Source organism: Homo sapiens, chromosome 22, assembly GCF_000001405.40.
Source record: "Homo sapiens chromosome 22, GRCh38.p14 Primary Assembly".
NCBI lineage: Eukaryota > Metazoa > Chordata > Mammalia > Primates > Hominidae > Homo > Homo sapiens.
The window spans coordinates 15,638,001-15,663,319 of record NC_000022.11 but is presented as its reverse complement, the minus strand read 5'-3'; the positions used below and the strand labels follow the sequence as shown (position 1 = coordinate 15,663,319).

General features: G+C 42.0%; 1 pseudogene; it reads left to right on the top strand.

The window, feature by feature from the left end:
* Positions 1–25,319, top strand: part of LOC124905152 (mediator complex subunit 15 pseudogene 7) — a 42,872-nt pseudogene that overhangs the window by 11,505 nt on the left and 6,048 nt on the right.

The window sequence follows — 25,319 nt, the reverse complement described above, 5'->3', positions numbered from 1 at the left end:
TTTAATTTGTCTGGCTTCAGTTCACAGGGTTTTAAGAAAGCACAGCTTAGTTTTCAGTGACTCCAAGTTAGGAATAATTGAAAAAAAAATTGAAAACATTAAAGACTTGTAGCCAAGAAAAATTAGAATTTGGTCCCAACTGCAGAAAATAATAAAAATTGAAAAAAATATTAGGCAAGACTAGAATCTAAAAACAGGTCTACTGTGGTTTTGAAACATAATTTTTTCTCTCTCCAGTTTTCCATTTTTACTAAAGATAAATCATGTTAGAACTGATTTGCTTTATTATTCTTGGTCTAATTATTTGCATACAGTGCAACAACCATAATTATTTTTTACACAGGCTTTTAAATTGGCTTTGATGGAACTTTGTTCCATAGGAGGAATCTTAGATAAGACTTTCTTAAGCCAGGCCCAGCCATGGATTTGTGCCATCAAATACCTATGATTTCAGTGAATTTCCTCTCCTCTTGAGGTTCCAAGATAAACCTGGGGCTTCTGCACCTGTCAGAAAGTGACATTCTTTATTTACCACAGGTCAAAACCCTGTACAGGGACTGTGTACACAAAATATGAGGCCAGTTTTTCCACGGGCTTTATTGGCTTCTATAAGTCAAGTTTGATTCCTTAAAGGAAAGCACACCATTTCAGTCAAACCCTTGATAAAATAACCAACTTCTCCAACTGTGTCCTATTGCTAAATAAAACAGATTCTTATTGCACTTATGCAAATAACTATATTGCCATAAATTAAGAATACCCCCAGTTTCCAAATTCTGGAGAAATTAGGTAGAGAAAAACAAATATGCTCCAAATTTTGTTCACAGGAATATACTTTATTGTTAAAATCTGCAACTAACAAAGTTTTCTTAACTCTGAAAAACTAAACAAAGTATCAGCAATGTTTTAAGCAAGAAGTCAAAAAGATTACTTCAATTTTCTGTTGGTTCAGTTATTTCTATTAACTCCTGTTCCGTTTCATAGTCAGGAACATTTCAGCTCTCCATGAGAGAGTTCCGAAATTTTTTGCTTTATTCCAATGTAACAATTTCCAAAATTATCAGAAAACCTGAATTTAAGTGCACCTGTTAAGAGTCCTACAGCTGATTATAAACCCACCTTATAAAGAGGGTTTAAAACAAGACAAAACAAGACAAAACAAGATAACCGTCTGTGGATGAAAAAAAAGTAAAGGCAGCCATAGTTAAAAGATACAATTGACAAGTGAATGTGTTACCTCCGTGGCACACGATAATTTTAACATAGCAATTATGATTATTACGAATAATGTACACTAAGTTGTATCAGAATTACAGGAGTTTCCCATCATTTTGGAACACATACCAATAACATATTTATACAAATGGATATGAAAGAAAGCCAAACACCATTTCTTATCTGACAGTACTTTCCTGTATAAATTTTATACCAGATAAGCCAAATTATGTCATTTTTAGACTTTAGAGAAACTAATGTTCTATTTAGGATGGAAAAAGACATAATATATAATTTGATTTTGGAAAGTTTGTCAAATATAAAATGTTTAAAACACTTGATATTAAAAAATAGGATTACAGGTCATTGTAAAGTCATTTATTTAACCAAAGTGATAATTCAAGGATTTTTTAAAAGTGAAAACCTTCATCCTTTGAGACAGGAGACTTAATTTTTTAAACAAGAAGCCCTAATAAAAACAGCATGAAGCCAATTACATTTGTTTTTTAAAATTTTCTAAATCTATAAAATGTAATCTTGATTATAAAATATAACTTCCATAAGCCTTTTATAACCTGTACTAAGGAGTTGGTAAATGCTTCAAGAAAACCTTGTTAATCTGACACAGGGGTCCATATACTGGTTTTGCATCATTGTGATTTTGACATTAATAATTAATGTATAGAGAAACTGAACCAACTTTATCTTTCAAAATCGGCCCTTACAATCTTATGCTCCCACCTCTTTCACAATAGTCTCTTGGTCTTGAGGAGTTCAATAGCTTTCATTTCCTGCCCTGTGTCTCAGGAATGCAGCAGTTTATTTAAATTGGCATCTTCTACTGGTCCTGAAGATGAGGCTTTAATTGCTGTGGGTATTTAAGATTTAGCAGGAATTGGTTTTCGTTTTTAGACATAGGAGTTAAAAAGCCCTGTAACTCAATGTTGCAAGGATTTTGAAAGCATATACAGGAAGATACATGGATGTAATAACTTCAATTTTAAAAAATCTCAGTTTTTTTCCTAAGTAAACCAAAACTTAATGTGACAACTTTATTATATAAAAGTTTTTGGATTTTTTAAATATATAAATCCTTATTGTAACTTACATTGTTCATGACATGGTCAGACTTTCTGATTTGTTCTGAACATCCTTTCTTTTTAAACAACCAGTTATTTTATTTTAGGACTAAACTTACTACACAGGATTCTTTCTTATATAATAGTATTTCTCTTTAAACTCTTTTTTACCTCAAAAACTACCTCTTTACAACTTTCTTTACATTTTTTTATTTCCTGGTTCCTTTTACTTTGTTTTATATATAACTTTAAATAAGCTTTGAATTAGACAAAACATGTTCTTTTTTTTTTTTTTTTTAGAAAAAAAGACACTTTTTTGGCAAGAATGTTTTCCTACAATATATGTGTATTGGAAAATACCCAAATAATGAAATATCTATTATTTAACTTAACTTTATATTCTAAATTATGACCAGTTTGTCTACAAGTGTTTATCCCATTACAATTACCTAATTATTTTAATTGTTTATCTAGATTATTTATGAAATCTGTGATAGTCATGATTTAAAGTTATGAAGCCGCCATTGCAAAATTATAACTGAGACAGTGAAAAAAAGATTTGACCTAACTGGCTCCATCTTGCTCATAACCTCCAAGCTGTCCTTGTTCATTCCTGGGCATAGGCTGAACTAACACTGAGAGGAACCTGGTTTATAGTTTAGATTTGAAACAAAGGCAGTAACAGTCCTTACCTTATTGTCTGTGGACTAGACTGCCAAATGCCGCAGGATTAGAAGTGCTAGTAATCTTACTAAATTCAACATGCAGCTGTTTTTATTAAACCCCATATCAATGTCTTACTTATTAAAAATTACACAAGTAAAGATCATTCCGTTTTGGGCTGGGTTTATACTTTTGAAACCCCAATGCCAAATTTTGACACCTTATAGTATTTGGCAGGAATATGTATGAAATTGGTTGATACTAAATGTAAACAAAAATGTATGCTGCCAATTTTTAAGACATTTCTAATATTTTTTTACCAATAATTTTAAAGATAGCTTATTTATTAAAGATTTTGCTTAAGTTACATAAAGTTGAAAAAGCATTTCACAAGTCTTTCTTAGTATTTAACTTAAGTGGTTTTATTTTTCTTTAAGCCGATTAGAGCTTTTATATATTTTTAGTAGTCCAACATTCTGTACACAATACATAAATACATCTAAAAATCTATCAGGCATATCTATGGAAGTACTGAAACCACTTTTGCAAAACTGCAACTAAGGAAATTATGACAGTGAAAGAAATCAGACCTAACCGACTCTATCTTGCTTCTAACCCTTAAGCTGTCCTTGTTCATTCCTTGGTGTAAGCTCAACTAACTTTGGGAAGGAATTTAGTTCACGGTTTGACTCTGAAAGCAAATTGATAACAACCCTTTCCTGAAAAGAACCCCTTCTTGCCTGGGGAGCAGTCTGCCTTTGCAGGACTAACATATTAGCTACAAGATTAGAATGTACAGTTTAGGGGTCATGCAGTCTCTGGCTTCGAAAGTCTGAACCTCCCCAAACTGCTCCTGCAGGTAACATCACATCACTACTGTAAAACCTAAGATCAGGGCTTGATACGTGTTGCAGACCCTGCCCAGGCCAGTAATCTGGCCCAACCAGTTGTGCCGTCATACCCATGAATAGAAGACAGAAAGATAACCTAACTTCAACCCCCTATGATTCTATCTCCAACCTGACTAATCAGCACTCCCCACTTCCCAAGCCCCTACCCACCAAATATCTTTAAAAACTCTGATCCCCGAATGCTCGGGGAGACCGATTTGAGTAAAAACTTTGGTCTGCCATGCAGCCGGCTCTGCGTGAATTACTCCTTCTCCACTGCACTTCTTCTACCTTGATAAATCGGTTCTGTCTAGGCAGCGGGCAAGGTGAACGCATTGGGCTGTCACGGTACATTTTATAGATTGAAGACCTCCCCCTTTTTTTCTCTCTCAGACTTTCAGATTCTTGGTAACTTGTTTCACAACCCTAGGCAGCTGTCAACTAAACAGCCTTAAATTTGAACGTTAAGGGAAACAATTCAGGTGAAAATCAAATAGCAAAATTTACTACATAAAGCACACAAGGAAAGAGTCTGGTGGTGCTAGAGGGAGACACTAATATTTTCTTCGAGCCAAACTAAACATTAAATTAAACTACAGTCTTCCTTAAAAACCCAAGAGTAGCCTCTGTTGCAATAACTACTTTAGTCAAGAAAAATCAAGTGAAAACAGAATTCAGTCAACTGAGAAAAAAAAGACAAAAAAAACATAAACACAGTTGCTCAACAACAACAAAAAGACAAGGTCTTAGGAGAGTAAAACAAACAAAAAAACAAAAAACATGAAGGCCTTTCAAATACAAACATGCGCACACATGCACACACATCTGGATGTTACCCTTTTAATTAAGCTGACTTTTACACAATTGTGCTCCTTTAAACAAAACTCTTTTAATCTTATTACCATATTTCAGCGAGGACAAAATGCTGCTAAACTAACAATGGTCACACAAATTATATGATTTCTGAGCACTCTGACGTGTAAGCAGAAATTAACACCGGCTGGTTGTTAAATGTTAACTTTATTCTTTAAAAGGAATTTGCAAGACAGAATCCAAAACTAGTTTCTTACCTAGTGATGGATCTCAGGCTGCAAACTACTCTCTACTATCCTAGAAGCAGGAAAAACACACAAACAAACAAACACACAAAACAAATTTGCCTAATAGAAGAAGTGAGCTCAAACTCTATAAAGTAGTTACCTGCCTTCCAACATCATGGAGGTGTGAAAACTTGTCTTGTTGGACGCAAGTAAAACTCCAAAAAAAAAAAAAAAGAGGAGTTGTACAGCAAAATAAACTTTAGATCTTGACCAAAGTTTTGGAGATGAAGGATTCTTTGGAGGGAGTGCTCTCAGATCTCAGCAAATTGTCCTATTGGTTTGGGTCATAAAGTGAGCTCACACTGGTCCCAAGCACTGACAGGAGATTTGCCAAAGGTCAGGGGCATCTCCACTCAGAATCCCTCGTGGTTACCAAAAGGGGAACTCTGAAAATCTGAAACAGGTCTCAGTTAATTTAGAAAGTTTATTTTGCCAAGGTTGAGGACACACTCCTGACAAAGCCTCAGAAAGTCATGAAAACATGTGCCCAAGGTGGTCAGGGCACAGCTTGGTTTTATACATTTTAGCGAGACATGAGACAACAATCAATGTATGTTAAGAAGTACATAGGTTTGTTCTGGAAAGGTGGAACAACTTTAAGCAAAGGCAGGAAGACTGGAAGCAGGGAGGGAGCTTCAAGGTCATGGATAAGAGATACACAAATAATTACATTATTTAGAGGTTTTGGTTAGCTTCTCCAAAGGAGGCAATCAGATATGCATCTATCTCAGTGAGCAGAGGGGTGGCTTTTAACAGAATGGGAGACAGGTTGGCCCTAAGCAGTTTCCAGCCTGAGTTTTCCTTAGTGATTTTGGGGGACCAAGATACTTTCCTTTAACAACATACGAGTAAGCACATGTTTGAAAACAACCACAAAAGTCACCCTGGGAAGGGAGAGTCTGTCCAATACAGTGTTCAGGGAACTGGATATCCCTAAGCAAAATAACATAGGGTCCTTATTGTGCGAAATTCACAATTCATTCAACTGAAAGAAAGACCTATCCAAAACTGATAAAGTCACTCTCTAAGAAGAAAGCATATAGTGTGCAGATACCAGGGTCAACTTGGAACTATGCTCATGGTTTGCAAAAAGGAAAACAGAAAAAATAAAGAAGACAAAAAAGAATACAAACAAGCAACAACCAAAACTCACTGGCAACAGATTGATAAGCTGGTGAATTTCTTTAACTTCATCAGTCACCAAAGTAAGGGAAAACCAGAACACTGCACACACCTGAAACTGCATCAGACTACATGGCTTGTGGGCAAGAAAGAATGAAAAACATGAATGAAAAGAAAGAAACATACAAAGGATGATAAGAAGCATTTGGAGAAAAACACAGCTGATGAGGCATTTTTTGGAAAAGGTGTAAGTAACTAACATTACTAACTAGCAAAAAACACCAGAAAACAGAAATTAATTACCAAACCAAAACTGGATAAAAAAACCAAAGAGGCTTTTCTGCAAAAGACACATAAAACTGAAAATAAGTATGCTTGTTAACACCCGGTTAACACCACTAATCATGGCAAAAATGAAAATCAGAACAAGACTCAGATACTGTGCCTCTCTTGGTGGAACGATTATTACAAAGACCTTTGTGTATCTTAAAAGAAGCTGCTGTGAATTTCCAGAGAGGTTAGCTTTCTTATCCACAACTGTTAACAGGTAATTAGTATGCACACTACAGAAGCCACCTGGAGGTTCCTCAGAAAACTAAACTTACAACCACTGAGCTGTGCTGCTACTGGAATCATATGAAATCAGTACACAGAAGACGTATCTGCCTTCCCACGCTGACTGTGGAAACAGTCGCAATAGCCAAGATAAGCAATCAACCTACCTGTCCACCCACAGAGGATGAGATCCAGAAACTGCAGTATCCAGTCACAACCAGATACTCTTCAGCCAGACATGGGTACTGAAATCAGGTCATCCGTGGCAACACTGTGGAACCTGGAGAACATTATGGTAAACAAAACACACTAGGCAGAGAAAGACAAACCTCGCATCACTTCACTCATGAGGAATCTAGGAAACTTTATCTCACACAGACCTACAAAGCACCATCGTGCTTGCCAGGGTTGGAAAAGAAGGCTGGGCAAGGGTGGGCATAGGAAACAGGTACAAAGTGACACGTTGCATGAGAGGAATGAAACCTGCTGTTCTATTCCTCAGCAGGATGACTAGGGAAAATTTTACCAAAGGGTGGTCTTCAAGACAGCCAGAAAGGAGGGTTCTCGCTCTCCTCACTCAAAGACATGAAAACTCTACCAGGCATAAAAGGATGCTAAATACCCTGATTTCATCCCTATACGATGCATGCATGGACCCAAATGTCCCACTCGACCCTCTAGTTGTACATATTTAGGACAGGGCCAATTTTGTTTCCTAAAAACAACATAAACAAACAATGCTAAAATTCCCATGGGACCACAAAATGCCCTGAAACTCCAAAGCCATGCTGAAACACCAAACGTCAGATGGACAAAAGGCTCACTATGCAGTGAAGGGCACTGGGCTAGGTGGCTAGACACATGCAGATGGACAACACTGGAGCCTTAACTCTCGTCAGATACAAAAACTAACCCAAGGTGAATGAAAGATTTCAGCAGAATACCTCAAACTATAAAAGTCCTACAAGGAAACCTAGGACATATCTTTCTCAGTACGGGCTTTGGAAAAGCATTTAAACAAAAAGCAACAGTAAGAAAAACCAAAAGGACAAGCTGGGCCTAAGAAACTATAACACTGCCAGATAGCAAAATAAATCACTGGCACAGTAAACACACAGGCTACAGGATGGGAGAAAATGTTCCCAAACTATGCTTCTCACCAAGGTCTGATAGCCAGACTCTAATATGACCTTAAAAAAATCAAGAGGCAGAAAAACAAACCATTCAAACAATGGGTAGAGAACATGAACAAACACCTCAACATCCCTCATCATCAGAGAAATGCAACTCTCATGAACACTGAGATACCATCTCACATCGGTCAGAATGGCCATTTGTCCTAAGGCCAAGCATTAACATGGTGGCAAGGCAATGGAGGAAAGCAAACACTGCTACACTCTTGGTGGGAATAAAAACTAGCTCTCACACTATGAGAAGTGGTTTGGAGGTTCCTCAAAGAACTTAACAACTACCATCCAAATGAGCAATCACATAACTGGGTATCTACACAAAGGAAAATAAATCATAAATCTTCCTTTCAAAATGACACAGGCATGGGTATGTTCTTGGAAGTGCTATTCACATGGAAATATAAAATAACATCGACCTATGTCCCCCCTTAACAGTTGATTACATGCTTTAAAAGTGCTATACATAGATACCACAACATCCTACACAGCTTAAAAAAAATTCATGCTCTTGACAGCAACAAGGATGGACCTGCAGGTCACTATGCTAAGCAAACTAACACAATCTAACAGAAAACAAAATACCACATGCTCTCACTTACAGGGAAAATACCTGTAGACAATACAATGACTTTGTGATCTCTTTTTTCTCTCTCTGATTGGACACAGAAATCCCTGCTGACAAAAGCAAATAAAAAACTGTGAGACCAACACTTTAGAGCTTCTGCATGGGGGAGAAAACAATGAACCCAAAGAGAAAGCATCTTACCTTGGCGGAAAGGATGATTGGGTTAAAATTGTGGAGAATCGTGATTTTGGAAGGGGTTGTTATCTAACATATGCAAGCACTAAAGCTACTAAGTGGGGAAAAGATTAAAAAAATACACAAGCTAAAAATATGCAAAGGACCTGCACAATCACTTCTGCAAAGGACATGAAACTGATTCACAGGTGAAAAAAAAAGATTCTCCACATCACTAATCACTCCAAACATGTAAGTCAGAATCACACTCCAATATCAGATACCATCAAACTCCACTGAGAATATTACCAAAAACAGGAATAACATTTTTGGAAGGTAGCAGCCAGTGTAGACTTACAGAAAGGGAAACTCTTATACGCTATTGATGCCAATGTGAATTAGTGAATACACTGTGAAAAAGTTGGGATGTTCCTCACACTGCGTATGCATTTAAAGCAAAGGAAACCGGTACCTTAAGGAGTTACCTGCCTTCCCATGTTTCATGACAGTATTCGCAATATAGAAGATATGGAATCAACCTACCTGTCCATCCATAGATGAAGGGATGAAGAAACTGCAGTATATCTGCACAACACAATACTCTTCATCCATAATTAATGTAATTTTCATTTGGAGCCATATGGATGAACCTGGAAAATATGTTAAATAAAATAAGCCAAGCATAGAAAAATAACCACAGATTCATCTCACTTATATGGAATCCAGAAAACTTTGCCTTGGATAAGTAGTGGTTTTCTGAGGAGAGGGGAAGGAGGGAATGGGAGGATTGGTTGTGGAAACAAAGTTGCAGTTAGTTGGGACAGATACATTCTTGTGCTCTATACCACAGCTCCGTGATTCTGGTTAATACTATATTTTTCAAAAAAGCCACAGGGAGCAATTCCAATGTTTTCACAAAAGAATAATACCTGTATGAGAGAACAGATATGCCAAGTACCCTGATTTGATCATTACTAAAAATATACATGAATCAAAATGTGCCAGAGGAAAAACAGTCCCAGCAGACTCTCTAATTATATACTTTACTATGCACAGAAATTTAAGAAAAGTGAATACACAATGCTGATGATCACATGGAACCACAAATGGCCCTGAATGTCTAAGGAATCCTGAGAAATAGAAACTAAGTTGGAGGACTCACAATCCCTGATATGCCGCTGTGCTCCAGCCTGGGTGAGAGAATGAAACTCTGTCTCAAAAAAATTGTTAGAACATTTGAAGGAAACATAGAAGTGATAACTACAAGGACTCTGTCACTCAGGCTGGAATGCAGTGGCATGATCATGGCTCACTGCAGCCTTGACCTCTCTGGCACAAGTGATCCTCCCACTTCTGCCTCCTGAATAGCTGGAACTACAGGCACACACCACCACGCCTGGCTAATTTCTTTGTATTTTTTGTAGAGATGAACTTTTGCCATGTTGCCTAGGCTGGTCTCAAATTCTTTGGCTCAAGTGATCTGCCCACCTTGGCCTTGCAAAGTGCTTGGATTACAGGCACCAGCCATTATGCCTGGCCATAAGAAAACATGCATGGCAACATCAAAGTGAAAAGTTTTTGCAAGGAAAAGGAAACAATGAACCCAAAAAGAAAGGCTGGGAGAATGTTTTGAGGAATCACGAATCAGCTAAGGGGTTGTTATGGAAAATATACAACACATTAACAGTACTAAGTAGCAACAAAAAAACCAATGATCCATCCAAAAATGAGCAGGGACCCTGAATAGACATTTCTGCAAAGAGGACAGTAAACCACACTCAAGGTCCCTTCCCCCAGTCAGGTGGCCATGACTAGAGGGACAGAGTTAGGCAGGCACTGCAGGGAGTGGAGAAATGTGACCCCTACGTCCTGATAGCAGGGATACAGATTTAAAAATTCACCAGACCGGGTGCAGTAGTTAATGCCTGTAATCCCAGCACTTTGGGAAGTTGAGGCGCGAGGACTGCTTTGAGCTCAGAAGTTTGAGACAAGCCCAAGCAACATGGCGAAACCCTGTTGCTACCAAAAATACAAAAAAAAAAAATAGCTGGGCATGGTGGCATAGGCCAAAATACTGTTGAGGCTGAGGCTGGAGAATCCCTTGGGCCCAGAAAATGGAGGTTGCAGTGAGCTGAGATCCACCACTGCACTCCAGCCCGGGCAACAGAGCAAGACTGTATCTCCAAAAAATAAAAATAAAAATAAAAACAATTAAAAAATCAGCAAACCCTGGAGGTTAAGTTGGATCCTTTCCTTCCATCTGAGGCTTGAAAGCAAGGCAGCCAAACTGGGGCCTGGCCCCAAAACCCCACCTGGGCCAGGCTTCCCCTTCCTCCCACAGCCAGAGCTTTCCTCTCCACCTACATGGGGAGTCTCCCTCAGAAACAGCCCTAAAGCCTCCCACACATTCCAAACTCAAAAGCCCTCAGGGAATGAGTACTACTGTAAAATTAATGGCAAGATATCAAGAGAGAAAAAAGGAGTGAGAATCTAGCAGAAATGCACAGAACATTCCACAAAACGAAAGCTTCTGTACTCACCATGAAAGAAAAACGCCCCAAAGAAGCTGGGCCACGGAGAAGCCACGCCGAAGCACTGTCCTCAGCAGTCAGCACCATGGACAGGAGGTGTTTCTTCCCCAGGATGCGCCCTCAAGTTATCCCAAAGCTGCTGCAGCACCTGGTGGCTCCTGATAATTCTAAAATTCATATGGGAAAAAAAAAACGAGCCCACATAGCCAAAGCAAGACTAAGCAGAAAGAACAAATCTGGAGGCATTACATTACCTGACTTCAATCTATACTACAAACCCATAGTCAGCAAAACAGCATAATACTGGTATAAAAATAAGCACATAGACCAATGAAACATAATAGAGAACCCAGAAGTAAACTCAAATACTTACAGCCAACTGGTCTTTGACAAAGCAAACAATATAAAGTGGGGAAAGAACACCCTACTCAACATATGGTGCTTGGATAATTGGCAAGCTACATCCCAAGAAATGAAACTGAATTCCCATCTCTTACCTTATACAAAAGTCAACTTAAATCTGAGACCTGCAACCATAAAAATTCTAGAAGGTAACATTGGAAAACCCCTTCTACACATTGGCTTAGGCAGAGACTTCATGACCAAGAACCCAAAAGCAAGTGCAACGACAACAAAATGAAGATTAAAAGGTGAGACTTAATCAAGCCAAAACGTTTTGGCACAGCAAAAGAAACAATAAGCAGAGTAAACAGACAACCCATGGAATGGGAGAAAATCTTCACAATCTATACGTCTGAGAAAGGACTAATAACCAGAATCTACAAGGTACTCAAATTAACAGGAAAAAAACCAATCCCTTCAAATAATGGGCTAAGGACTTGAATAGACAATTCTCAAAAGGAGATATAAAAAATGGCCAACAAACATGAAAAAATGCTCATCATCACTAAAGATCAGGGAAATGCAAATCAAAACCACAATGTCAGGCTGGGAGCGGTGGCTCACACCTGAAATCCCAGCACTTTGGGAGGCTGAGGCGGGTAGATCACTAGGTCAAGAGATCAAGACCACCCTGGCCAACATGGTGAAACTCCATCTGTCCTAAAAATACAAAAATTAGCCGGAAGTGGTGGTGGGCACCTGTAGTCCCAGCTACTCGGGAGGCTGAGGCAGGAGAATCCCTTGAACCCAGAAGGTGGAAGTTGCAGTGAGCCAAGGTTACACCACTGCACTCCAGCCTGGTGACAGAGCGGACTCCATCTCAAAAAAAAAAACCAAAAACTCACAATGCTATGCCAGCTTACTCTGGCAAGAATGACCATAATCAAAACAGCAAAAAATAAAAAATATTGGGGGGCATTTGGTGAAAAGGGAACACTTTTATACTGCTAGTGGTAATGTAAACTAGTACAACCACTATAGTAAACAGTGTGGAGATTTCTTAAAGAACTAAAAGTAGAACTACCATTTAATCCAGCAATTCCATTACTGGGTATCTACCCAGAGGGGAAAAGAAGTCACTATATAAAAAAGATGCTTGCACACACAAGTTTATAACAGCACAATTCACAATAGCAGAAATATGTAACCAGCCCAAATGCCCATCAATGAGTAGATTAAGAAATTGTGATATACATCATGGAATACTATTCAGCCATAAAAAGGAAAAAATATAATGGCATTCACAGCAACCTGGATGGGATCAGAGACTTTCTTTTCGTTTTTCTTTTTTTTTTTTTTTTAGACAGAGTCTCTCTGTCACCCACGCTGGAGTGCAGTGGCACGATCTCAGCTCACTGCAACCTCTGCCTCTCGGGTTCATGCCATTCTCCTGCCTTAGCCTCCCAAGTAGGTGGGACTACAGATGCCCGCCACCACGCCCAGCTAATTTTTTGTATTTTTAGTAGAGACGGGGTTTCACCATGTTAGCCAGGATGGTCTCGATCTCCTGACCTCGTGATCCACCTGCCTCAGCCTCCCAAAGTGCTGTGATTACACGCGTGAGCCACCGCGCCCAGCCGATCAGAGACTATCATTCTAAGTGAAGTAACATTAAGAATGGAAAAGCACACATCGTATGCTCTCGCTAATAAGAGGTAGCTAAGCTGTGAGGATGCAAAGGTATTAGAATACAACGGACTTTGGGACTTGGGAGAAAAGGTGGGAGGGGGTGAGGAATTAAAGACTACAAATTGTATACAGTGTACACTGCACAGGTGTTGGGTCCACCAAAATCTCATGAATCACCTCTAAAGAACTTACTCACATAATCAAACACCACCTGTTCCCCAAAACCCTATGGAAATACAAGAACTTTTTGTTTATGCATACCACATATTTTTAAACTTTTTTCACAGGTTCATTGAGATATAATTTATGTATTATTTAATTCACTCAATTAAAGTATAAAATTCAGGTTTTTTTAGTGTATTAACTGGGTGCATAAACAATCACAATATAATTTTAGAACACTTTTATGCTCCTTATAAGAAACCTTGCACCCATTAGCAATCTTTTCCCATTTTCCCCACTCTTCCTTTAAAACCCTCCCAGCCCTAGGCAATCATCCATCTACTTCCTAAGGATTTGCCAATTCTGGAAGGATTTGCCTATTCTGGACATTTCATGTAAGTGGAATCATAATAATATATAGTTATGTGTGACTCACTACTTTCACTTATTTTTTCAATGTTCATCCTTTTTGGAGCATCTATTAATACCGTTTTCTTTTTCATTGCCAAATAATATTTTATTTTATGGACAGATCACATTTTATTAATCCACTCCTCAACTGATGGACATTTCTGTTGTTTCCTACTTTTTGTTGCCATAAACAGTTGTATGCTACTTTTTGTGTAAGGCATTTGTTTTAATTCCTTTTTGCTGTATACATAGGAGTTAATTTACTGAGTCGTGATAATTCTATACTTAACCTTTTGAAGAACAGTTTCATTTTTCTGCACGTGGCTTGCCAATTATGCCAGCACCAAATAGGGCATCTTTTCCCACTTTATGTTTTGTTTGCTTTGTCAAAGATTAGGTATAGTCTGATGCCTCCAGGTTTGTTCTTTTTGCTCAAGATTGCTTTGGTTTTTCAGGGTCTTTTGTGGTTCCATTCAGATTTTAGGACTAATTTTTCTATTTCTGTGAAAAATGACATTGGAGTTTGATAGTGGTTGCATTTAATCTGTAGACTGCTTTCGGTAGCATTGCAATTTTGACAATATTAATTTTTTCAATTTATAAATATAGGATGTTTATGTCACTTTCAATTTCTTTCATCAATGTGCTATAATTTTCAGTATACACATCATTCACATCCTTCATTAAAATTACTCCTTGGCCTTTTATTTATTTATATATTTGTTTTGATGCTATTATAAATGGAATTACTTTATTAATTTATTTTTCAGATAATAGTTTATCATCGGTGTATAAAAACAAGAATACTATTTGTATGTTAATTTTGTAACTCTCAACTTTGTTGAATATAGTGTTTATCAGCTTTAATGGGTTTTTTTGGTGGAGTCTAAGATTTTCCCTATGTTAAAAGATTACATTTTCAGAAAACAGAGACAATCTCACCCCTTCCTTTCCTATTTAGATGCTTTTCCTTTCTTTGCCTTGTATAATTACTCTGGCTAGTCAATTACATATAACGTTTTCAGCATTTGCAATTTGACATCAAATCTATCTGTTGTAATACACTGATTGTTACTTTTCAACTCGAAAACCTGGACATTTATCACTACTCTCCCTTTCTCTTGATCTAGTTCTTATAAAAAAAACTATCAATGTAAACCAGGATAGATATTTTTCTGTAAAACAACTTCAACAGCACTAAAAAATTTTAGTCTAACAATTTTTAAACTTTCTATGTCAATGATATTAAACTGTGGTCTCTCAAAACAAATCCAATACCTTTAGTAGGAAAAATTATGTTAATTCCTACACTATCATTGGGTCCAGCCAAGAGTTGACCAAAGATGATATTAATAGATATGCTTATTTATTACCTTGTTCTCACAGTTCCAGTGTAAGTCTTGAAAATCTAATAAAAATTTGTAAAGACTATAATTGCACAAACTCCCTCTCTCATGAGTCACACAGTTAATCCAGAATATTATTTCTAAGTTATTATAAAACCAACAAGGAAATATGATGTAGTGTATAAAAAGAATAATCCCAATTTGATAAGTATATTCTATAAGTGAGACATGTAATTGATACTATTTACTAAATATCTCAATTACATTTATTTACATAGAAATGAAAGAATCAAAAGCATTATCTATTATTCAATATTTAAATGACTAAAAATACTTGAAATAGCATTGCTACATAAATGCTATGTAAATGCTGACAAAAGGAAAAATGTCATTCCCTGCATTTGCTGAATAAATTGTGACACATTAGAAGTAGTTTTAAAATATATCACTAATGGTTGGGTCAAGTCAGCAAAAACTATTCTAAGTACTTAATTGTGGAAAAATTTAGTACAGGGGATAGTATTCATGTGACGGAAGGATTTTAAATGGAACCCAGAGATTAGCAGCAGCAGGAAGTTTTAATTACATACCAGGTGCAGAGTTTAGGATTCAAGACGGAACCGTAGATAAAGTCTGACTCTTTCCAGCATAGCTAGGAGACATGGCTAACTCCACCTGTCTGGAGGCCTTACCTAGAAATCTAACGGCTCCAAACCAGATAAACAGAACTATTTTCCAAAGTCAAACAATCAATTCATGACATTAAAGCACTTCTGAACTTTGACTTAAATTAGACCAAATGGATAAATTTTGAAGATATTTTTATTTTACCAATGATTTTAACACTGTCTTTACTTCCCCAAGATTACTGAACTCACATGAAATAAAAGGCATTAGAGCTTCTGTTTTTCTGACAAAATATTTAAGAGCTTTCATTTTCTTTTAAGCCGAGCCACTAGAGCTCCTTTATATATACATCACATACACAACACTTCTAGACAGAAAAAGATCTAGCAGCTGTTAAGATTTTCTTTCCCATTTCATGAACCATAACACAACTTCCACAGAGCATCTATGACATGATTAAACTTTCTGACCTGTCCTGTATTTTCCTCTTTCGTAATTAGTCATTCTACTTTAGGACAACAATTTGCCATATAAGATCCTCTCTCATACAACATTTCTTTCCTTCATAACTTTTCTTACCATCAATACATCTTCACATCTACAACTTTCTTTAGATCTCTCTCCCCTACTAATTTCTGATGTCCACCTAAACCAAAAAGGTCAGATAACGCAAGGCAAAACAGAGGAGAGCCTTAGGTTTTGAGAAGGACCTGTCTGCTTAAAGTTCTTGGGGTTCCATGAGGAAAACAGAGTTTCTCCTAAAATGGGGTTTGTCGAACCTTCTATTTTTCCTTAAGGAGTCCCAGGCTGTCAGAAATTACCTTAGATCCTCTCACGTGAGCATCAAGAGTGGCAACAAGACAGACAAGGGAAATAATTCGGACAACTGAGCAGAAAAAGAAAAACTTACTACTGTCGCCACCATAAAGATGGATAAACTGAGGCACCATGCAGTTTAAAAATTCATGTTCACATAGAGTTAGGCTCCACAGCTCACTCTCTTACCATCCTGCAATTTTGCCAACTCTATGCCCAGTCACTGATGCCCCTGTATGGTAGCTCATGGTCCCCTAGGAACTTAGAACCTGAGTTTCATTCCTGCTCTACAGCTATATAATTTTACAATTTTCTTCTGAATTTGTTGGATTCTAACCCTGTGTATCTCAAATTTTATTAATATTACTGAACCTTAAAGGGGGCTGTGATGACTTTTGTCTTCAGAAATATTAAACCTACAAACAAGGCCTATATGAGGTTAAACAGTATTCAAATTCCTATATGCTTTAAAACATGGATGCAATTTATTGAGAAACACACCTATGAAACTGCACCCAATCAACTCTGGACAAACATTTAGATATTATCTCTTCAATATAAGCTATCTAGTGGTAATTAGACATATTCTTCCATATATCAACAGTATCTTACATGCTCATAACCTTAAACATAACTGAAAAGTGTCCAAATTACAGGCCTTACACATTACTGTGGGCTTGAAAAATAATATAGATTGTCTTTAAAGCAGGCAAGAAAATGTATAAACTTCCAGAAGAATGAGTAAAAATAAAAATAAAAAAACGGTTCACACCAAAGGTAGTAATACTAGGAATAAAAGAGGGCTCAACACTGCAGGTTCTTAGAGGCAAAAGTTAATAAAGCCTTGTTTTTGGTTGTGACTCTTTGCCTTAAAACATTATACACGGCCAGGCATGGTGGCTCATGCCTGTAATTCCAGCACTTTGGGAGGCCAAGGCAGGTGGATCACCTGAGGTCAGGTGTTCTAGACCAGCCTGACCAACATGGTGAAACCCTGTCTCTACTAAACATACAAAAATTAGCCGGGCATGGTGGCAGGTACCTGTAATCCCAGCTACTCGGGGGTCCAAGGCAGGAGAACTGCTTGAGCCCAGGAGGTGCGGGTTGCAGTGAGCCAAGATCGCACCATTGTACTCCAGCCTGGGGGCAAGAGCTAGACTTCATCTCAAAAAAAAAAAAAGAAAAAAGTTACACACAACTCTCCCCACTTCCTTTTTTCTTACAAAGAGGTGGTGATGAACCAGGTTTGCTCATGCAGGTGACAATACTCTTGAAAATGGTGGCAGAGAGCCAGCGTGGTGGCTCACACCTGTAATCCCAGCACTTTGGGAGGCTGAGGCAGGTGGATCACCAGAGGTCAGGAGTTCAAGACCAGCCTGACCAACATGGAGAAACCCCATCTCTACCAAAAATACAAAATTAGCTGGGCATGGTGGCACATGCCTGTAATCCCAGCTACTAGGGAGGCTGAGGCGGGAGAATCACTTGAACCCAGGAGGCAGAGGTTGCGGTGAGCCGAGATCGCCCCATCGCACTCCAGCCTGGGCAACAAGAGTGAAACTCTGTCTCAAAAAAAAAAAAGAAAGAATGAATGAAAAAAAGAAAATGGTGGCAGACAAATAAAATGAAGAGAATACAGTTCACTTAATAATCTCATAAACTGGAACTTATTACCCCGGTGACTCTTGCATAGCTCCAGATAAATATGTGACAGAAATGAAATGGCTGTTTGCTACCGATATTTTATGTGATGCTTCATTTTTGATTCCTTGAGTAACTACTTACAACGCATTAGCCCACTTATGCAAGAGGCTGCAATTTTTTGAATTTTTGCATGAGTGAAAAATCAGACCTTGTCAATGACCTTGGGCAGTAGGATGTAAGTTAATTCCTCATGCTCAGTATTCCAATAATGGAACACTAGGCATAAGTGGGTTAACACGATCATGAAAGCATACCTATTCAAGTGACTAATACAACTGATTTTTTTTCTCATCTCTAAAACACAGTAAGGGACCATTTATTTTAAAAATACAACACAGGGACCAGTAGTTTCTTTTTAACTCAGTTTCGGTTTGTTGTTTGTTAAGGCCATTGCTTGGCATAAAGAAAATTTAAAAAGGAGGATAAACCACAATAGAAACATGAAATAGAAGCAGCAGCAAAAGAAAATAAAGAGAAACAAGAAGATGAGAAGAAGACAATACAGACTAGAAGAAAGAAAAAAGAACAGGTGTGGGAAGTAGAAGGCCTATTATGATACCTTTTATCCCCTCCCCAATTCATGAAATTTGAAAAAGTCAGAGACTATCACAACAAAAAAGAAACAAGATACACAAATAGTCACCCCCTAAGTTTTGTTAAGAATAAGACAATCCTGCCCCTCACGCCTGGCTCAGTCACCAGCAGGAGGAGGGCACCCTCCACAGATTGCAGGAGAAGGGGAAGGACTCCTCCTTTCCCTAGGTGCACCTCCACTGCTGCCACCAAGGCCTGGTACAGTACCCGCAGGTTCCTCCCCATCCCCAGGTCGGGCTGGGCCCTGCAGCGCTCCTACTCCCCCTTCCCAGCCCCCAGACTTAATGCTGATACCACCACTAGCACCGATGCCAATACAACCGCTGTCGCCCTCAATGCAGCAGCCCACCCTACAAGGCTCCTACCACCTTGCCCCCGCGGGCACCCTCCTACCACTCCAGTCGAGCTGCAGTCTCCGTCGCTGCCACCAATCTCGTGAGACCAGCTGCAGAGCCATATGCAGGCTCCAGTTTACCACAGGTGACTCTTCCTTGTCCTCCTCCTCCATCCTGGCTTGGAGCAGCTGGGAGGGCAAAACCAGAAAAGCCTAGAATGGGATGCAGAGAGTGGTAGCCTTAGAGCCTCACCTTGTCACGCTGGCCACTGGGTGGCAAGGACCAGTTTCAGGAAAGGCACTCACACCCACCCTCCAAAGTCCAGCTTCTACTTCTGGCAAAGCTGGCCAAGAACTGGGGCCTGAGGTGGGTGTGAGTGCCTTCGCTGAAAGTGCCCCCGTTCAGGTGCAGCTGGCCAGAAATTGCTGGGCCCACCAGGGCTGCACTCCTCCAGGAGCAGGACTAGGAAAAACTCAGACCTAGGCAGCCCTCCCCACCCAAGTGCTGGTTCCTGTTCCTGACGCCTCCACCTACAGTGCCCTGGCCCCACAGTCCCCCATGATTCCCACTAATCCCTGCCCGGTAGTCCCAGGTGGTCTCCCCAACAGGCAGCATGAGGCACAGGCTGGGGAACCACGGGGGGTGTGTGGGCCCTGCTGTGCTCACAATTGCATGAGCAGGAGAAGATTACCCTCTAGAGTCTGGAATCTGGGAAAAGAAGAATGGTCACTGGAAGGAGAAAGGAGGCCACCACTGTTGCTGTTGCTGCCACCTCTGCAGCCCAACAATGCCACGCAGTGTAGCCCCTGACAGCACCCCTAACCTGCCTGCCCCTTGCCATCAGCAGTGTAGCCCCGGGATAGCACACCCAACACATCCCGTGCCAGTTGCAGGCATATAACCCCAGTACCCCCCCAAGCCACCACCCCCAACAGGCAGTGTAGCACATTACAGGGCCCACAACCCGACCCAGCCAAGGGGGTTGCTGCACTAGTCAGTGCCCCAAACCCGCCCCCCCCAACCCCACCACGGGCAGTGCAACTCCTGATAGTGCACCCCAAGTAAGTGAAGTGCAGCACTCCATAACACCCCTAAACCACCGCCCACTGCCAGCATTATAGCTCCAGATAACCACCCAACCCACCCCCTGCCGCAGGCAGTGGAGCAGAAAATAGTGCCCCTAACCCATCACCCACAACCAGCAGTACACATTAGTGCACACAATCTGCCTCCCTCCACCACCCCCGCCACCGCAGGCAGTGTAGCCAGTGATAGCCAGCCAACCCCCCCCCCAACCGCCAGCAATACCCCAGAGAGTGCCCCGAACCAGCTGCCTGCCACAGGGAGTGCAGCCTTGGGCAGTGAGCCCCAAAAGGACACCCAACCCCTGCCCCCAGAGGTGGGCAGTGCAGCCCCAGAAAACTCACCTACCCAACGGCACGTCTACCACTCTGGAAGACCTGCAGTGTCCGACATCACCACCAACCGCAGCGAGGCGAGCTGCGGTGGCGCAAGCTCCAGCCTCCAGCATGCGTCCGTGCCTCTCCCTTCTACTCTTCCTCCTGCCCGGCAGGAAAAGCTCCCACTGCAGGCCACCCTTCGACCGCTCCATCCCCACCACCAACCGGAGACAGCCAGTGCCCTGGCTCCAGCTGGCAGCAGATGGCGGTCCCCTCTCCTAGTTCTCTAAGCGAAGAGCAGCACACCAGCACTGAAGAACCTGAAATGACCTGAGGTTGCTCTCACCGTGCTTTATATACTGAGGTTACGCACATGCGTTCTTGGACTACATGTTCTGATTGGATGAGAGAAAAACCTCTAGGCCTACTCTGATTGGGCTTTATTTTCATGCTGTGATTTGTTGTCTTAAGACTTGCTCTCATCCAATCAGAACATGATAATAAAGTCCAATCCCAGTAACCCTGGAGGGTTTTTCTCATCCAATCAGAACATGCAGTCTAGGAACCTTCATCTATATATAACCTCAGTATATGAATGATCCTGAAGGGAAGGCTGCCCCTTTAAGGTTCCGGTATCTTCCTGTAGAGCTGCTCAGGGCCCAGCTTAGAGGACCGGGAATGGGTAATCACAGGCCGTACGCTGGAGGCTGGAGCCGCGGTAGGACGGCTCGCCTCGCTGCGGTTTGTGGTGACGGCAACGGAGAAAGCAGTGTGGTGCAAGAGGTAGGAGGAGGAAAATAGTTTTGGGATAGATGGAGGGAGGTAAAGAGGGTGGTTAGTGACAAAGGGAAAAGAGAATAGCGAGCAGGAGAAGGTGTTGCAAAAAGACAGTGGGGAAAAGATGGTGGGAAAAAAGTTTTTGGGTAAATGGAGGGGGAGAAACAGGGTGGGGAGCGGGAGGGAGGGAAGGTTTTGCAGAAAGACAGTGGGTAAAAAGTTTATGGGTAGATGGAGGAGAAGAGGGTGGCAAGGGGGAGGAGGAAAGAGGGTGGGAGGGAAATGGGGGCAAGCAGTAGGGAGAGAAGGTTTTGTGAAAAGACAGTGGGGAGAAAAGTTTTTGGGTAGATAGAGGGGGAAAAGAGGGTAACAAGTGGGGGAAGGGAAAAGGGTGGCCAGCGGGAGGAAGACAGGGTTTTGCAAAAACACAGCAGGCAGAAAAGAAAGACGGGGCGGGGAAGAAAAGATGATGGGTAAAATGTGTTTGGGTAGATGCACGGGGGAAAGAGGGTGACCAGGAGGAGGAGAAAAGAGGGTGGCGAGAGGGAGCAGGGAAAGAGGGTTGGGGAAAAAATGGAAAAATAGTTTGGGGTAGATGGAGGGCAAAACAGAGTGGAAAGCAGGATAGGGCAAAGAGGATGAGTGGGAAGGGGGAAATACTGAAAAGACGGTGGGGAGAACTTTGAGGGATAGATGGAGGGGGAAAAGAAGGAGGTGAGCAGGAGTGGGGAGAAGGCTTTCCGAAAAGGCTGTGGGGAAATGTTTTTGGGTAGATGGAGAAGGGAGAGGGTGGCAAGGAGGAGCAGGGGAAAGACGATGAGGAAAACAGTTTTTGGGTAGATGAAGGGGGAAAAGAGGTTGGTGAGCGGCAGGAGTGAGGAGAAGGTTTTGGGAAAAGAGGGGGGAAAATACTTTTGCTTAGATGAAGGAGCAAAAGATGGTGATGAGAGTGGGACGGGGAAAAAGAAGGTGGCCAGGGAGAAGGGGAAAAGACGGTGGGAGAAAACAGTGGGGAAAGTGTTTGGGCAGATAGATGGGGAAAAGGGTGGTGAGCGGGAGAGTAGAGAAGGCTTTGCGAAATGACGGTGGGGGAAAAATGGTGGGGAAAAAGTTTTGGGGTAGATGGAGGAAGAAAATGGGTGGCGAGGGGGAGGAGACCAAAGGCGGTCGGGAAAAGAAGGTGGAGAAATAATGGTGAGAGACAAAGGTTTTGGGTAGATTTTTTTAAATCAGATTATTTGTATTTTTGCTTTTGAGTAGTTTGAGTTCTTTATATATTTTGTGTATTAACCCCTTGGCTGATGCATAGTTTGCAAATATTTTGTTCCATTCTCTGGGTTGTTTCTTCATTCTACTGATTGCTTCCTCTGCTTTGCAGAAGGTTTTAAGTTTAATGTAATTACATCTTTGCCTTTGTTGCTTATACTTTTGACAAGTTTAATGTAATTACATCTTTGCTTTTGTTGTTTGTGCTTTTGATGTCTATTTGTGCTCAAGATTTCTATACATTATGTTCATTGTCTGCTTTATCAGTAAAAGTATAGTAGAGACTGGGTTTCACCATGTTTGCCAGGCTGGTCTCGAACTCCTGACCTCAGGTGATCTGCCCTCCTCAGCCTAACAAAGTGCTGGGATTACAGGTGTGAGCCACCGTGCCCAGCAGTCATCTTCTTTCTTAGATGGAGTCTTGTGTGAAACACACCACAGAAGTTATGTTCACTTACAGCTGGGGGAGGCTGACCACCTTGTGTGACAAGGTTGGAACCCAACTGCCACACTTCCCTGTGTGTCTCCACATGTCCTCAGGCCTGCTGGGGGCTCCCTTTTCCTGGTCTTTCATGCAGAGGAAAGACGTAGTGTGTGTTGAGAGCCAGCCTGGTGGTGGGATGTAGTGACTGCCCAGCCAGTGGAAGCTGCTGCTCTTGCCTCTTTGGACCGTCCCTCCCCTGTCCAGGACCTCACTTCATCTAAACACCTCAGGTCAAGCCCAGCAGGAAAATGAGATTCTCTTTTCCTTTCTTTTTTTCTTTTTTCTTTTTTCTTTCTTTTTTTTTTTTCTCATGTAGAGTCTCATTCTGTTGTCCAGGCTGGAGTGCAGTGGCGAGATCTCGGCTCATCGCAACCCCTGCCTCCTGGGTTCAAGGGATTATTCTGCCTCAGCCTCCCAGGGAGCTGGGATTACAGGCACCTGCCACCATGTCTGGCTAATTTTTGTATTTTTAGTAGAGACAGGGTTTCACCATGTTGGCCAGGCTCGTCTCGAACTCCTGGCCTCAAGAGATCTGCCCACCTCGGCCTCCCAAAGTGCTGGGATTATAGACATGAGCTATCAAGCCCAGCCTAGAACTTCCCTTTTCTTTTCTTTTTTTTTTTTTTTTTTGTTTGACACAGAGTCTTGTTCTGTCGCCCAGGCTGCAGTGCAGTGGCGTGATCTCAGCTCACTGCAACCTCCACCTCCCAGGCTCAAACGATTCTCCTGCCTTAGCCTCCCAAGTAGCTGGGACTACAGGCACGTGCCACTATGCCCAGCTAATTTTTCTTTTGTATTTTTAGTAGAGACAGGCCAGGCTAGTCTTTAACTCTTACCTCAACTGATCCACCTGCCTCGGCCTCCCAAAGTGCTGGGATTACAAGCATGAGCCACTGTGCCGGGCCAAACTTCCCTTTTCTTTCCATTTCTTGGTATTTGGAAAGTGAGCAGCCATGGAACAGCCGGTGTTTTCAGCTGGTGCAGACCCAGCTGGTATGCTCGTAAGACTTCTAGCTGAAGGAAGTGTCCACCCTGCAGTCTCGCTGGCATCCCATCACCTTCCAGAAGCAGGATGCCAGCTGTGTGTGCTCTTGGCTCTGTGCTCGGGGTGCTGGTCTTGCCAGTTTTCCCACCCCTTGTTTCGGGTGAGGTCCCGCCCAGCTGGCATGGGAAGGAGGATGGGGATTGGTCACCACTGTGGTTTGTTGCAGAGTGAGTTTGGTGGCTGCCTTGCCTGGGCCCAGCTCCCATGTTTCTCCCGCTTGGCTGCAGCTCCAGCCCTGCTCTGTCCCCCGTAGCTTCCTGCCCAGCTCCACACTGCAGCCTTCCCAGCACCCAGAAACAGCACAAACCCCACAGAACTCCAGTGTCCCCTCCCCTAGTCCTTTACACACACCTGCTAAGCCAGGCCTGGGACCCACAGCTCCATCATGTGAGCTGTACACGGCCTGGCAGGTTGAGGTGCTAGGTCACCCCTCACCTTTAAAAGGCCTCAGGTCATACCATTCATGCGTGCTCTGGGGCCCTCAGAGCCCAAGCTCCCAGCCTGAGGGTCTAGGGCTGAGGCCTCACCCGCCCATAGTCCTGCAGTGACCCCAGCTCTGTCATGAGTCCAGCCGGCTCCAGCCGGGCCAGGAGCAGCTGTACTGGGACACGCTGAAGCAGCTGTCCAAGCACATCAAGCCCCTGCACCGCGTGGTCAACAAGATCGACAAGAGTGAAGGTGGGCTGCGGCCGGGGTGGGGGCCAGTGCCCTGGGGATGCCACCAGGCTCGTGTCTTATGGTCCCCTCTGCTGTCCCAGACAGAAAAAAGGACCTGAGCAAGATGAAGAGCCTTCTGGACATTGTGACAGACCTCTCCAAGCAGTGAGTTTTGCCTACAGCCAACGTAGGGTCCACAAGGGCGTGGGTCGTCCAGCCATGGATGGGCATTTGGTGATGATGTGGGGTTAGCAAAGGCCCCAGGCAGCTCTTTGGGCCCTGGACAGAGGCCTCCAAGTCTCCACTCTGGTGTGTGCTGGGGCTTCGAGCCCAGGCTTCATCTTGGCCGGTGCCCAGCCTTTGCCCTACTCCTGACCACTGCTGTGGCCCTCATGCTGGCCCATCACAGCCAGGTCTCATCCAGCCAGTAGTTGGGGGCCCAGCTTGCAGTGACCTGAACATCAGCTGGCCGTGATGGGCCTGAGCATGACCTGGAGTTCTGCCCCTGACTTCCCGGTGACCATGGACAGGCGACTGCATCTCAGTTACCCCATTTGCAGCCCATGTGTGCTGTCATGAA